Source organism: Homo sapiens, chromosome 11, assembly GCF_000001405.40.
Source record: "Homo sapiens chromosome 11, GRCh38.p14 Primary Assembly".
NCBI classification, from domain to species: domain Eukaryota; kingdom Metazoa; phylum Chordata; class Mammalia; order Primates; family Hominidae; genus Homo; species Homo sapiens.
Window position 1 is genome coordinate 95,247,856 of NC_000011.10, and position 15,097 is coordinate 95,262,952.

A 15,097-nucleotide genomic window follows, 5' to 3' on the forward strand; every position below is an offset into this window, starting at 1 on the left:
TGAAGGTTGAGTCATATGCCATGTCACTGCAGATGGAAAAAAGAACATCCACAGCAAAGGTGACACCTGAGAGGTCATACAGCCTGTTAGAAAAGCTGAAAGCATCAATCTGAGAAAAATAAGTGAAACTCAAGACCCACGTCAGAACTATGGATGACATAAGGGATTGAGGGTTATGGGATTCGAGACATTGCTAATCTCCTCACTTTTCCCCCTTTTTATTCTTTACAACCCAACCACTGATAGAAGCCACTTGTTTGACCTGAACTAATCTGTTATGTTTTCCGTGCCTCCAAAGGTGCCAGTTTCAGTTCTGCTGTGTTACAGTAGTGCCTTTGCTGAGTTTGAAACTGGATACTCCAAGCAAGTAGATGCCTTTTCTTCAAACATGCCAGGGAAAAACTTAAATTACTTTAGCAAAAATAACCTTTCTGCCATCTTCATCAAGTTAACACAGAAAACTGATATTTAGTCATGAAGGAGCTTGATTAAACTGTTTCACTTTATCATATTACATCTTGATACAGCAATTTTTTTTTTTTTTGGCTTGGCTGCCTTCTCCACGAGATTTTATGCTTCATGAGGACGCTTTTTCTCATCATTATATCGTCAATACAATAATCTTTTATAAGAAAATAAATAAAGAAAGTCCATGCAGAAAAGTCGTCTGATCTATGTTACAAGAATAGTGAATTCTTATCAGGTTAATAAAATATAAATTGCATTACTCAAGAGTTTTTAATAACCAGTGGTTGTAAACTGAATTTATATCATGTATCATGTGTAAATGTAATATTGAATATTGTTGTAAGTTTCAGGATAGGAATTAGTGTTCAGGCTGCAGTGAGTAATTGCTACTTTTGTCATCCTTTGGGTAACTCTTGGCCAGCTTGGGTCTGCGAAATTGCCCCCTCCTTTGCATTCAGCCCTGTCCTTGTTCTAGGAGTCTCCTCCCCCAACATGCAGTGGGTCTAGCATTGGTATGTGATTCTCTGTTCCTCCAGGGAACAGCCCTCCCTGCGGTCATGAGGCTTTGTTCATCCATACTCCCAGCTGTCCTTTCTTTGCTTTGTGTTTTTAGGGGAGAAATGTGCTGGACCTGTTGGGCCCCTACACTGAAGCTTCACAGGGAAAGTTGGGAGAGGGAGAGAAAGAGAAAGAGAGAGTGGGGGAGGTTAAAAAGACAAGCTGCGGTGAAGCAGATTAAACAGGTGGAAAGTATGTGTGCATGTGCATGTGTGTGAGTGTGAGAGGCTGGGGAGGAGTGTTCCATGAAAAGAGACTGGCACTTGTTCAGACTGGAAGGAACTGAAAGAGTGGGAGCAGTATGTGAGCCAGGAAGAGAGCAGTGGGAAGTGGGGCTTTAGGTCAAATGGGGAAGAGGTCCCGCCTTCTAAATCATGCAAAAGATTTTGACTTTTATCTTAAGAAGAAAATGGGAGGAGAAAGCCTAGAGCAGTGTCAGAAAGACTGTACATGAGGGGAGAACTGAAACAGGCTTCTTTGGTGGTTCTGACCACAGCCCATTCATTAGTGGAGCCTATTCCTTTGGGCATTCTTAGTTTTGACTCCATTTCAGAAAGATATATTGAGCACATACTCTGTTTTAGGCCCTATACTAGACAAGGGAGAGAGATTAAAATATTTAAGATGTGACTCCTGCCCTTAAGGATATGTCAGTTTAGTAATGACATTTTGTTTCATTAAAGAAGCTAATAGTCAAACCAAGAACTTCCAGCTAATCATTCCGTGTCTTCTCACACGGAGTGCTTCTGAACCAGTTTTTTCACCTCCTGTTCTTATACATTTGATTTTTTTTTAATACAAATTTTTACATTTTTCTTGGTTTCAGGCCATCCTCCCTGCCTGCTATATCTTTTTGAATCTTGCTACTAGCTCTCTCTTCCAACTTTATGCTACATGCAGATCTGATGAACATGTCTTCTTTTTGTTAACTCAAGATCTTACTTAAAAAATTGGTCCAGCACTTTGGGAGGCCGAAGCCGGCAGATCACTTGAGGTCAGGAGTTCGAGACCAGCCTGCCCAACATGGTGAAACCCCTGTCTCTACTAAAAACACAAAAATTAGCCAGGTGTGGTGGTGCATGCCTTTAATCCCAGCTACTTGGGAGGCAGAGGCAGGAGAATCGCTTGAACCCAGAAGGCAGAGGTTGCAGTGAGCCAAGATTGTGCCACTGCACTCCAGCCTGGGCCATAAAGTGAGACTGTCTCAAAAAAAAAAAAAAAAATTGGTGACAGATCTCAGAGGGTCCTTAAGCCCTTTAGCATGGCACAAGTAGAGATTTCTTTCCAGGTGGTTCTTAATTGATTGGTCAGTACACGTAGGGTACCATACAGTGTTTTTTCCTGGGAAGCCTCTCCCTATTTTATAGCCAGAAATAAGTGCCCTATTTATGGGCACCCACAGCACCTGTGAATACCTATGCCACACTACTTGTGACATTACATTTTAATTTTGTTATGCATCTATCAGTATGGGTTTGTCGTTTTATTCATCACCATAGTCTCAAAATTGAGCACAGTGTATTTGTATTACATGTGATGGACACTCAATAAACATTGTTTGGTGACCTAACCTGCATGAGTTTTTATGGACTTTATTTTATTTATTTATTTAGGTATTTACTTATTTTTTGAGACAGAGTATCACTCTGTTGTCAGGCTGGAGTGCAGTGGCGTGATCTTGGCTCACTGCAACCTCCACCTTCTGGGTTCAAGCGATTCCTGCCTCAGCCTCCTGAGTAGCTGGGATTACAGGTGCCTGCCACCACGCCCGGCTAATTTTTTGTATTTTTAATAGAGACGGGGTTTCACCATGTTAGCCAGGATGGTTTCAATCTCCTGACCTCATGATCCGCCCGCCTTGGCTTCCCAAAGTGCTGGGATTACAGGTGTGAGCCACCAAGCCCAGCTTTTTATGGACTTTCAAAACATCCAGGCTATTTGATAAATTTTGAGGGTTGAAATATAAAATTTAGCCCTTCTGGCATTTCCCAGTTTAGCTCTATGTGGTTAGGAACTGGGTCCCACGTTCATGCCTTGGTGTTGGCTCCACAGAATCATACACTTTGGTCTCTGGAGCACTTCCTGATATGTCATAGGAGTTTTTAGTGTCTTCAGATTATCTCAGAGATTTTACAAATGATGCAGTGAAATCAGGAGAAAAGAGACGTGTAACCCCTTTATCACTGATCTCCAATTTCATGGGCAGGACATGTAGAAAGAGCCTGGAATTTGACAATAGAACTCTGGTGAACAGGTATACTAAACATAATAAATATAATAAAAACTACAGCTTAATTTGAGAAAGCTCATTGAAAGAGAAATAAAAATTCTTCTTTTTGATGTAAACCATCTTGAGATATTTATAGTTTTTTGTTCTGTCCCCACGTGTTTTGCCTTTATCTTTGATTATCTAAACTATAAGGACCACAGATTCTCATTTTTGAAATTTGCTTTCATTAATTCTTCTCCATCTTTTTTTTTTTTTTCTTTATGTATCTGAGTTTCTATCAGTTTGGCAAAAATACTTGGCAACATTTACTGGGATTTTTGAACATCCCACATGCAGTTCTGTGTTAGGGATTTCACAGGTATTATCCTATTTAATCCTCTTCTATAAGAGGCAGGTATGTTACTGTGCTTGATTTATTTAAAAAAAAAAGAAAGAAATAGAGGGAGGTTAAATCATCCCCACTCTTATCTTGGTTTCCGTCTCTCCCTGTAGTCTGCTGGTGTGTTGCAGAGCTGAGGTTTGAATAGGACCTGATTCCAGAGCCTGAACTCTTAATCCCACACACAATTTTGCAAAGGGCTCAAAGTCACAGAATGTCATACTGGAAGCATCCTTAGAGATCATCTAGCTTAGAACATAATATCTAGCTGTGGACCTGATTTGCTCCTACTTTCTGGGCAAAATGAATCTCCCAGAGTGAAAAATAGGTAGGGGAAATGGATGAGGTGGGAGAGGGCTGGGTGGGTTGATTCCAAGTCCCAGACTCCCAGCAGGGACTTTCATGTCTGGAATTTTGTTTTTTGCTTTTTGTTTGTTTGTTTGTTTGTTTTTGAGTCAGAGTCTTGCTCTGTCACCCAGGCTGCAGTGCAGTGGTGCCGTCTCAGCTCACCGCAACCTCCGCCTCCCGAGTTCAAGCAATTCTCAAGCCTCAGTCTCCTGAGTAGCTGGGATTACAGGCTCCTGCCACCACGCCTGGCTAATTTCTTTATATTTTTAATAGAGACAGGGTTTCATGATGTTGACCAGGCTGGTCTCGAATTCCTGACCTCAAGTGATCCACCTGCCTTGGCCTCCCAAAGTGCTAGGATTCCAGGTGTGAGTCATTGTGCCTGTCTGGGGTTTTGGAATTGGATGGTGCACACATTTTTTTTTAGCCTGCATTAATGTCTTTCTTTATCATTAAAATGTTCGTTTAATAATCATGTGAGGTTGGGGTCTAATTTCAGTTTCAACTGCCGCTAACTATGTGACCATAGGATTTTGTTGTTGTTTTTGCTCAGCATCTACTGTGCCATATTTTAAGACACACATTTCAGGCAAAACAGACAGCAGGAACAAAGGTGTGGTAGGTCCACTGAACAGGGAGCCAGAGAGCTGGATGTAGGAACTGCCCATCACTCTGGGGAGTCTATGAGACAACAATTCTGTTTTTCAGCACAACAAATTGTTTGTTACCTTCAAATAACACAGAAAGACAAAAATCAGTAAGTTTATATTTCCACAGGCAGTGAAAATGTGAAGATCTGAGTGGTGTGAAAAGAAGTCACTTTCAGAGAGAACATTTTGCTGAAATTTAGAGTGAGCTACATGTGCCTAAGTCATACACAGGAAGTAGGAGACCTGGGGGTCAAGGGGACAAAAAGCCCCACAGTGAAAAAAGGCAATTACTGGGAAAATGAGAGAAGAATGCAAAGTATACAGAAGCAGCTATGTACGTTGTGAAATACAAGTCACCACACTATGTGTTGCTGCTGTCACAAAGATCAAGATAGAAAATGCAAATATTCACCTCCATGTCTGAGTAATCTTTGCCCCCCCCATTCTTTCATTCCTTTCCTCCAACATTTTAGTCTCCTAAGCCTTTTTTGAAGGATTCTTTGTCTCATTTAAAAATAAAGATGGGTAAGGGAGTACCTGAGCAAACCAGATGTGGCAGGCTCCGTGAAGTATATCCATGTTTTCCTGCTCTGCTTATGTAAAAATAACTGAGGGAAGCTGAAATATTTTGTATGTGTATTAAAAGTTAAAGGGAAGAAGGGTTTGGAGCAATGAATGAGATGAAAGACAAAGCTGTGCCAGGAAAGATGAAAGCCAAGCAAAGGGTGGTTAATCATCCCAGTCAGAGACAAACAAGAGAAATCTAGTGTGTCCTGAGAGCTAAGGAGCCCCGCTATCCACCATGGAAATGTCTCTGACATCTAAGTTACCGAGCTGGTTACTAAGCCTGCTATTTCTGATCTGTCAAAATCATTCCATTAAAACTTAAAATAAGCCTGCAACTGGATAAGCTTATCCCTTACAGAAGCCTTATGTAATAAATGCAAATGTGCATCTGAATTATTAGGCTTCTATTTTTTTCCCTCAAAGCTGCACTTAATCAGTAAAAGCTTGTGAAAGCCTAAAGATTTCTAAAATAAATGTGTATCTAAGAGCATCTCTAACATTGTCTTGAGAGCTACCAAGAGGTTTAGAAGAAAAGGCCTTGTGTGGAGAACAAGAATTGCTGGGTTCTGGCACTGGTTTAGCTACTTAATTTGCACTGGTTCTTGCAAATCACTTAGCCTCCCAAGGTTGAAAGAGTCTATGTCTGAGTGAAAAGAGTTCAGAAACTAGGATTAAAAACCATGGGTTTGAGGCCCAGCTTCATCATGTGCAAGCTATATGGCTGGCAATGGATTTAATATTTAGGGGTTTGTTTTCTTATCTATAGAGTGGGGGAAGTAATAGTACCTCATGCATGGGACAGCTGCAAAGAACATATGAGACATTGTATATAAAAAAGTTCTTTGCGCACTGTAAAGGGCAACAGACAAGTTGGCCTTTGTCACTACTTCCCCAGTTTACCTAAGGCTTACAGAATGCTGGGAAAATAAATGAGAGGTAATAAGGCATTTTTTATAGAAAGTCCTAAAAATTACTTCACAATTCTTTGCAGCAAGTGAAGACATAGTTTAATACTGATGGTAAAGGCAAATGAACTAATCAGAAGGCCAGCCCCATCTAGGAGATGTGTAAGACATCTTCCACCTACAGTCGAAGGCAAACGATAAGGTTTTTTTCTTATTCTCTTGTATTCTAGAGGCTGTTGGGGGTTGGGTGGCTTGGAAGAGAAAGTGCCACACAATAGCATTTGCTAGATTACGGCATGGGGGTTGGGAGGGCGCTATAATTTAAGAGGCATAAGATGACTGAAGTGATCACACAAAAAAGATATCTTCCAATTCCATTTGAGCTACAATCTGATTTCGCTGTTGAGTACAACGTCCCCTTCACAAGAATCAGAAGTCAGCATCAGGGCTGTGCTGCATAAGTTTTCCACCCAGCAACAGGATGATGTCAGCAGCCAGGGAGAACGACCAATCAGCAGGCAGAATGAATCAGAGCGTGCTGGGATTTTGCTCAACTGTCTCTTAGCAAAGCAAGCTGTGCTCTGAAGTGCAGGGGTTATTTGCACTTCCTCTGCACTTGAAGCTGAGGCTGAATGGCTCTTTAGCTGAAAAGGTACCAAGGAGTGTGCAAGCAGTTAAGATGATTTGCATCCAAGCAGCCAGTCTCATAAGTCATGAGTCATATTTGTTTTCCTGAAAGTATTTTTTTGGAATAAAAAATTCAGCATTAATAAAGATTCTAAAGTCTTGATTTATATGTTGTGTCTTATAATTGCTTGAAACCTGTTTTGTTTCATGCATAGTGATGCTGGGCAGCTCTTGGCACATGAGCTACAAGTAAAGTTCAATACTGCCTCTTAGGGAGTTTGAACTTGCCTCTGATGTTTCAAGTCTTCTCTCTAATGACAAGCAGCCTGGAAATCAACAGCTGTTTCATTTCTGGGGCAAAAGTGCTAATTCTCCAATTACACTAAAGTGTGTTTTGTGTGTGCTTTAAAAATAAGTCTAAGCTGGAAGGATATGATGTGACTTGTAGACATTGTCTCATGGGTGGGAGTGGAGAGGGCTTTGTAGCATTTCTGAAAACATGAAGTTATTTCCCAAAATTTTGTCAGTTTTTCTGATCTTAGTGGGCAGTGACAGCAGTATTGGAAAAGGGTGCAATCGAAGGGTTAAACCTACCTACCCGGCATTACCTATGACATATCCCAGGTCGATTAGACCTCCCAGGCAGGTTCCTCACTGGCATTATCTGAGGACAATTTCTGTGCTATCTAAGGCCAGAAAGCAGTTTTTCCTGTGAGTGGTGAAAACACATCTTTCCAAAAGAAAATATATATCTCAGAGAGGGAGTGATTTTTCATCTTGTCTTCTTTCAGAGTCCTTGGTAGGTCTCAGGAAGCACCATGTACTGCAATTTATTAGCCCAGACCTGCTGCAACCTATCCTTCTACAGTTTGCTTCTTGGCTGAATGCCTCGTTTTCCTCATTACTGAAATGAAAAAGGGTTTACAAAGCTAGCTAATTTGAGCTAATTAGGGACGGGCTATTCTGAAATATGAAGAAGGCTGGATTTGAGAATATTCCTTAAAGAAAAGCCGACATTACATTCAAAGGTTGGTAATATGCTGGAGGAGAGAGCACAGCTTCCAGAGTTTAGGCTTCCCAGCTTTTGAATCCCAGCTCTGTGCTTCCAGCCACCTCTCCATTCCACAGGTGCAAACTGGGGTAATGCTTAGCTCCAAGGACGGTTGTGAAGATAAACAATCTCTCACCACCAAGCACAGGCAAAACACATAGTAGCTACTCAATAATTCATAGACCCTCCACCCCCTTTAAACTGGAAATAAACAACTTGTTGGCTGATAGAAATCCCAGAGGGACCTGCTTTCACAAATACTGTAGGATTTGTAATTAGCATGTAAAAAGACTGCTTCCAGCCCTTGAAAGCATGTTGTCCTTTAAAGGCTCTTAGGCAGACTCAAGAAGCCTTGTTTGCCCTCTAGCATTAATTTGCTTAGCAAATTCTCACTGCTAGGGCAAAATTAAATTTCAGTTTAGGCTCTGTTTGATTGACCACAAACTCTAAATGAAGGTGGCTTTAGTGTGATCTAACTTTCACTTGTTTGGGATCCTTGAGATTAATGCAATGGGCCTTCGAGTGATTCTATAAGGCCCTGGCACTCTTTACGAGAAAGACGTAAATATGAAGTATCTGAAGCAATGCTGTTATCACCATTCCCTTTCCTTAGCTTAACATCCCTCAAGGGGTGCTTCTGGTGCCCAGAGAAGTTTAGAAAAGCTTTTGACAGAGCAGAGCAGACTAGGAGTCTGTACAGAGGTGAAAGCCCTGGGAAGGTATGAGGTTATAGCAGCTGTAGAACCCAGAGACTTCTGGAGGAAGTCGGGTAGGGGATGTATTTCCTGGGTGAGGGCAAATCAGCTATTTTGGATTCTTTGGTTCCTCATTAGTCAGAAATCAAGAAGACTACAGAAATGGCAACATTCTGCTGTTGCTACTGGTCCTTTCTCCTGAGGAATGCATTTGCTGACTAAGACATAACTTCGTAGATTCGCTGTCCACTCACGGCTTAGTTTATTGCAACACAGAGAAGGTCTCTTTCTTCCCGGTGTGCAGAAAGATAAACTGACAGCCTGTGGGTAAGCTCAGAGACTTGCGAAAGATCACGTTAGGACATCAGGATGGAGATACTGAATGCGGAAACAATGAAACCGGAAGTTGAGATCTTCAGACAGTACCTCCATTATTCCAATCACTTCAAGTCCAAATGGAGAAGTTTAAAATGAGTACCTTTAACCAAGAGTGTAAGACCTGCCTAGTTTTGAGTAATTGGATCTCTGGATATGGGCTCTAAGAGATCTTTACCTATATTTAGGCAAAGGGAAGCCAATTCATTCCAAGAGAGTCCTTTTTCTTTTTTGACAGATCAATTTGATATGGTATCATGGATTAAATACATTTCTTACTTGGAAGGATCACATTATTTGGGAATAGGTTCACTGCAGATATAATTAGTTAAGATGAGGTATACAGGAGTAGGGTGGGCTCCTTATCCAACATGACAGGTGTCCTTATAAGAAGACGACAGTGTGAAGGCAGGTGCACATAGGAAGAAAGCTGCGTGACACAGAGGATTGGACTGGTACATCTACAAGCCAAGAAACACCGAAGATTGTTGGCAAACCACCAGAAGCCAGGAAGAGGCAAGGCAGGGTTCCCTAGAGGTTTCAGAGGGAGCTTGGCCCTGCTGATACCTTGATTTTGGAGTTCTCCAGAAGTAGGAGACAATAAATTTCTATAATTTTAAGCCACCCAATTTGTAGAACTTTGTTACAGCAGCCCTAGCAAACTAATATATATGGCAATAATCAAAATGACCGAACTGGGAAAAGCTTCCAGCTATGTGTGATTTTTGAGTAAATAACTTGACCCCTCTGGAAGAAAGTTTTCTTACTGGTGAAATAGGAGTGGAGTAGGTGACTTAAAAGGACTCTAAACTCCTTTGGGAGTATGTAGTATCTCCCAGTGTTTTGATCCACCTCTTGACTCCTATCTATCTCTCTGTTTCTACTTGCCTGTATCTTAGTTCAGGGCCCAGTTATTTATTGCCTGGAAAACTGTAAAACTTTTCTTGCTTTCACTCTCTCACTGTACAACATAAGTGCCTGTGGAATCTTTGTAGACAGAGATCTGATAATATAATTCCCCTACACACCCCCTGTACAGCTGATGCTGCTTGCAGAATCCTGTTGAAACTCTTTAGCTTGACACCTGGCTCTTCACATCTGGACCAACATGTCTCTTCAGGTTTGTCTCCCGCGAACTCCCTCCCAGTTCCTCTCATGTCCACATCTGATGCGTTCTAGCCATACTAAAATATTAAGTCATGATCTTCTCTTTTCTTTTTTTTTTTTTTGAGATGGAGTCTCTTTCTGTCGCCCAGGCTGGAGTGCAGTGGCGCAGTCTCTGCTCACTGCAAGCTCCACCTCCCGGTTTCACTCCATTCTCCTGTCTCAGCCTACAGCTGGGACTACAGGCGCCTGCCACGGCGCCCAGCTAATTTTTTTATTTTTTGTATTTTTAGTAGAGACAGGGTTTCTCCGTGTTAGCCAGGATGGTCTCGATCTCCTGACCTCATGATCCTCCCATCTCAGCCTCCCAAAGTGCTGGGATTACAGGCATGAGCCACCACACCTGGCCTATGAACTTCTCTTTGCTTAAATCCTGCACCCACTTGCTCTCTAGGGACTTCCCACCTGCCCTTTTATTCTCCACAAAACAAGGAGCAATTTGAGGAAAGAAACTGTGTTTCTTTCACTGTTTTTGTTTTTGTTTTGAAACAGGGTCTCTTCTGTCGCCCGGGCTGGAATGCAGTGACGCAGTCACAACTCACTGCAGCCTCGATTTTCCAGGCTCAGGCGATCCTCCCACTTCAGCTTCCCAAGTAGCTGGGACTTGAGCATACACCACCACGTACACCACCATGCCCAGCTAATTTTTGTATTTTTTGTAGAGACTGGGTTTTGCCATGTTGCCCAGGTTAGTCTCGAACTGGGCTCAAATGATCTACTCACCTTGGTCTCCCAATGTGCTGGTATTACAGGCATGAGCCACTGTGCTTGGCCTGTTTTTGGTTTTTTGAGACAGTCTTGCCCTGTTGTCCAGGATGGAGTGCAGTGGCATCAACATGGCTCGTTGCAGCCTCAACTTCCTGGGCTCCAGTGATCCTCTCGCCTCAGCCTCCCATGTAGCTGGGATTACAGGTATGGGCCACCACACCCGGCTAATTTTTTGGTTTCTGTTTTTTGTAGAAATGGTGTCTCACCATGGTGTCCAGGTTGGTCTTGAACTCCTGGGCTCAAATGATCCTCCCACCTCAGCCTCTCAAAGAGCTGGGATTACAGGCATGAGCTACTACTGCACCTGACCTCAATTCACTGTTTTTTCTCTATTACCTAGTACTTTCCTTAGCATATAGTAAAAACTTGGTAAGTAGGAGTTGAAGAAAGGAATCATTTATTCTTCAAGATCCGTTTCAAGGATTCTTTAAAAAATATGAATACCCGAGTTAGGTGTTCCCTCCCAGATCCCACTGCACTCTGTCACAATTTTCTTAAATCAGTACTCCCATCTGTGAATCTTGCCAGATCAATGCATGAACTAAATAAATGTGCCCTAAACTAAACTAAATAAATGTGGTGTGGATGGACAAATAAATAATAAACAAGTTCTAACTATTATAAATGTTTGTGTGTACTGTTGTTTACTGTGAAAATCTTCAACTCATCTGAGGTAAGCGAAAAAGTTTAACCCCTACTCAACCAAGTTGACTTGTTCAATCAGATTTTGGCCATAGTGGTTTTGTTCAGTTGGTCAGAGTGTGTGCAGAAGGTTGGTTTCCTCAGTTCTGCTCTTATTTGGGGTTAATTAGCTGGGAACTAACTAGATGGTACTGGGAAACTCTGAAGGGCAAGGCCTCCCTTTCCATTTGAATGGGGATGGAGTGAAAGAGTGCAGAGGGTTCAGCACAAACTCAGCAGGGTGGTCAGCAGCTCAGCCTGAGGGCAGTGGCCAGGAGCTGGGTGGTGACTGGAAATGGGCTCCTCGCAATTTGGCTCTCTGCTTTGGTAACCACTCTTTCTCTTCCTCCATGGGTAAGTTTGGCCAAACAAGGCCCCAGGTGGGTGGGGAAGACGTGAAGCCTCCTGGGGAATGATGCACACACTTCTCCCCAGCAGATCTTCAATGCAAATTGGTGCCAGTGCGAGGCTGACCTGCTGGGCTTAGTCTTACACACAGATCAGAACCATCATTTGAATTATAAGGATAATGACTATGTATTGGACACTTGCTATGCGCCAAGTTCTCTCTCTCTCTGTCTCTGACTTATGTCAAGGTCAAGTTAAATCTGCAAGTCAACTAACTGCAACATGGGAATTGAGATAGAAAATTGTTAGGTCATGTGCCCAAGGTCACGCAGCTGGTGAGTGGCAAATACAGGAACGTAACTCAAGTCTGTTTGACTCAACAGATCTTCTTGACCAATAAACATGCTTTCCAAGTCCATTGTATTCTATCAGATTCATCAATTGATTAATCAACTAAACAATATTTATTTAATACCTGCTATATGCCAGATACAGTTAAGGTTCTGGGGATAATGTGGCAAACAAGACAGATAAAGTCCGTGTTCTCATGGAGCTTACGTTCTAGAGAAGGGAAATAGATGATAAAAATATAAGCAAACAAATAATTTTAGTGAATACTAAGTGCTATGAAGAACATAAAATATGGTAAAGGATAGAAAGTGTAATTGGCAGTTTCTGAAATGGTCCCCAACAATCTTTGCCTTCTTGTATTCATGCCCTTTTATAATGACTTGATGTGTATGGACTTAGTGACTGATTTCAAATGAATAGAATATGGCAAAGATGAAAGGATGCTATTTCTAAGAACAGGTTACAAAGAGATTTTTGTATTTTGAAACGCTTTTTGCATATAGGATTCAGTGAGATGCACATGTGACATTCAGTAACATTATTACATTATTTTACGTTACGTTAAATAACAATTTGCCTTCGAGACAAACCTGAGTCTTTTAAAATATTTTGTAGAAAGAACTTTTCTAACTCTTGATATGCCTGCTAAACTTCCTTGAGCTGAGGCCAACAGATTTTCTGTCTTCTACCCAATTTGGTTTAATGTCCCTGCCCAGGTCATTCTAAGCTCTCAATGCAGACAGTGAGCCCATTTTGATGTTCTCCAATAACCCAGATTTCTGAGAGCTGGAAGTATTAAAAGACTGACCTTGACTTTTATGGGTATTAAAAGGCAACATTAAGGTTTTCTGAAGGTATTTTTGATATGCATTTTCTCAAGCTATAAAGAAATATGGAATGGGATTTTTTTCAGTTAGGCTGGGCCCTGAACAAGAGTTTAAAAATTAAACATTTATGAATAATGAATATACAAAAAAAGGTATAACCTCACAAGAAGTAAAAGAAATGTAAAGGCAAGGATGAGATACAATTTTTCACTTTCAAATTGGGGACTGTAATGCTTAATGCATATAGGATTTAGTGAGATGCAAAATCTTAGGCAGCTCAAGTAGCATAAATTACTGGAACAAGCTTTCAAGTGAAGTAGTTAGTCATATGTGTCAAGATTCTTAACCATATTCATCCCTTTTGACCCAGTGACACCACAGTGTCCTTAGCCCCTCAACTGCAGCTGGTACTTTGTAGATATTTAGTATATATTTATGGAATTAATTAAATCAGATATAAACCTAACAAAGCTTAAGAAAGTAATATTCAGTTATAAAAGTGTTCAGGGTCATTTATTGAAACATTTATTTTAACAAGAAAAGTGGAAACCAGAATGCCTAAAATAGAGATTTTATTAAATATATTATAGAATGTTCATTTGATGGAATATTTTTCTGCCCTTAAAATGAGGACTAAAAAAAAGTGTTTTTTTTTTTTTTTTTTTTTTTTGAGACGGAGTCTCACTCTGTTGCCCAGGCTGGAGTGCAGTGGTGCGATCTCCGCTCACTGCAAGCTCCACCTCCCAGTTTCACGCCATTCTCCTGCCTCAGCCTCCCGAGTAGCTGGGACTACAGGTGCCCGCTACCATGTTCAGCTAATTTTTTGTAGAGACGGGTTTCACCGTGTTAGCCAGGATGGTCTCGATCTCCTGACCTCATGATCCACCCACCTCGGCCTCCCAAAGTGCTGGGATTATGGGTGTGAGCCACTGAGCCCGGCCAAAAATTTTTCAATAAGACGTGACAACATGGACAAAGATCAATATATTAAACTGGGTATATCATGGTCCCCAATATGTGCATAGAGAAGGCAAATACATAGCTATACATATAAAAAAATTTTTTGCAAGGAAATCCTCCAAAAATGTAAGTAGCAGTCACTTAAGTGATTTTGTTGTCTTCTTTATACTATGCTGTGTATAACATTTTTCTACAATGATCTTGATTTACATTCAATATTACAAAAATAGCAATATATACATTTTAACAATAATTTAAAAAATCTAAGCCTATAAAATTCAGACCATTAAAACTATGAATCATACATTGAGCCAGAAGTTTACAGTAAAACACACACACACACACACACACACACACACACACACACACACACACTTTTGGTTTTCCTCAAATGTTAGAATCATGATAGTTTTTCTCCTTTTATTGATTTTTAAACCAGATGAGTCCATTTGTGTACACATAGGGGGAGGCCATGTGGAACAGTGGTGAATAACACATTTTCAAGAACAAGGTTTTGTTAATTTAAACCTGGGCTCTGACAATTACTTTCTGAGTGATCCTTGGCAAATTATTTAACCTCTTGGTGTCTCAGCTTTTTCATCTGTAAAATGGGAATATTAATAGTATCTATCTCATAGGATAATTGCGCATATTAAATGAGAATAGTACATGTGAAGCACTTAGAACCATGCCCGGCACATGGTGAGTGCAACCTGTGTCTTCCCTTGTCTTGTATGATTTCTAAACAAGCAGAGCTCTGTTTACCGTCCAAGGTTTGAAATCCAAACCCTCTACCCACCCACCTTGAACCAAGAGGAGATGCTTGACAGTAAGCCTTCTGAATTATTTAGATGTCCATGTGTGCATGATTTATAGAAGAAATGACAATAATGATGAAGTGAAAGGATTTAGATGAACTGAACCTTAAATAGCATAGTCTTTTAAAGCAAGCATTTTGAAATACGCCTTATTATGGGCACTAGGAATTCTCTTGTCTTTAAATTGTCCAAAATAATATCATGCTCTCAGTTCACAGAGGGGTTCTCTCAACTTAAATGGAGAAGCAGAAAAAGCACAGAAGTCTTGGTGCCTATGAAATAGAAGTATCTTTCTTTGAACACTGAGTGGACATTTGAGAGGTCTAG

General features: G+C 41.0%; 2 annotated features.

The window, feature by feature from the left end:
* Positions 775–1,275: an enhancer, noted in NCBI's record as "H3K27ac hESC enhancer chr11:94981794-94982294 (GRCh37/hg19 assembly coordinates)". NCBI's record gives its function as "activates a minimal SCP1, AML or CMV promoter by ChIP-STARR-seq in primed H9 embryonic stem cells {active_cell/tissue: H9 hESC(primed)}" and the evidence as "EXISTENCE:reporter gene assay evidence [ECO:0000049][PMID:30033119]".
* Positions 6,244–6,633: an enhancer, noted in NCBI's record as "active region_5416". NCBI's record gives its function as "activates an Ori minimal core promoter by ATAC-STARR-seq in GM12878 lymphoblastoid cells {active_cell/tissue: GM12878}" and the evidence as "EXISTENCE:reporter gene assay evidence [ECO:0000049][PMID:35858748]".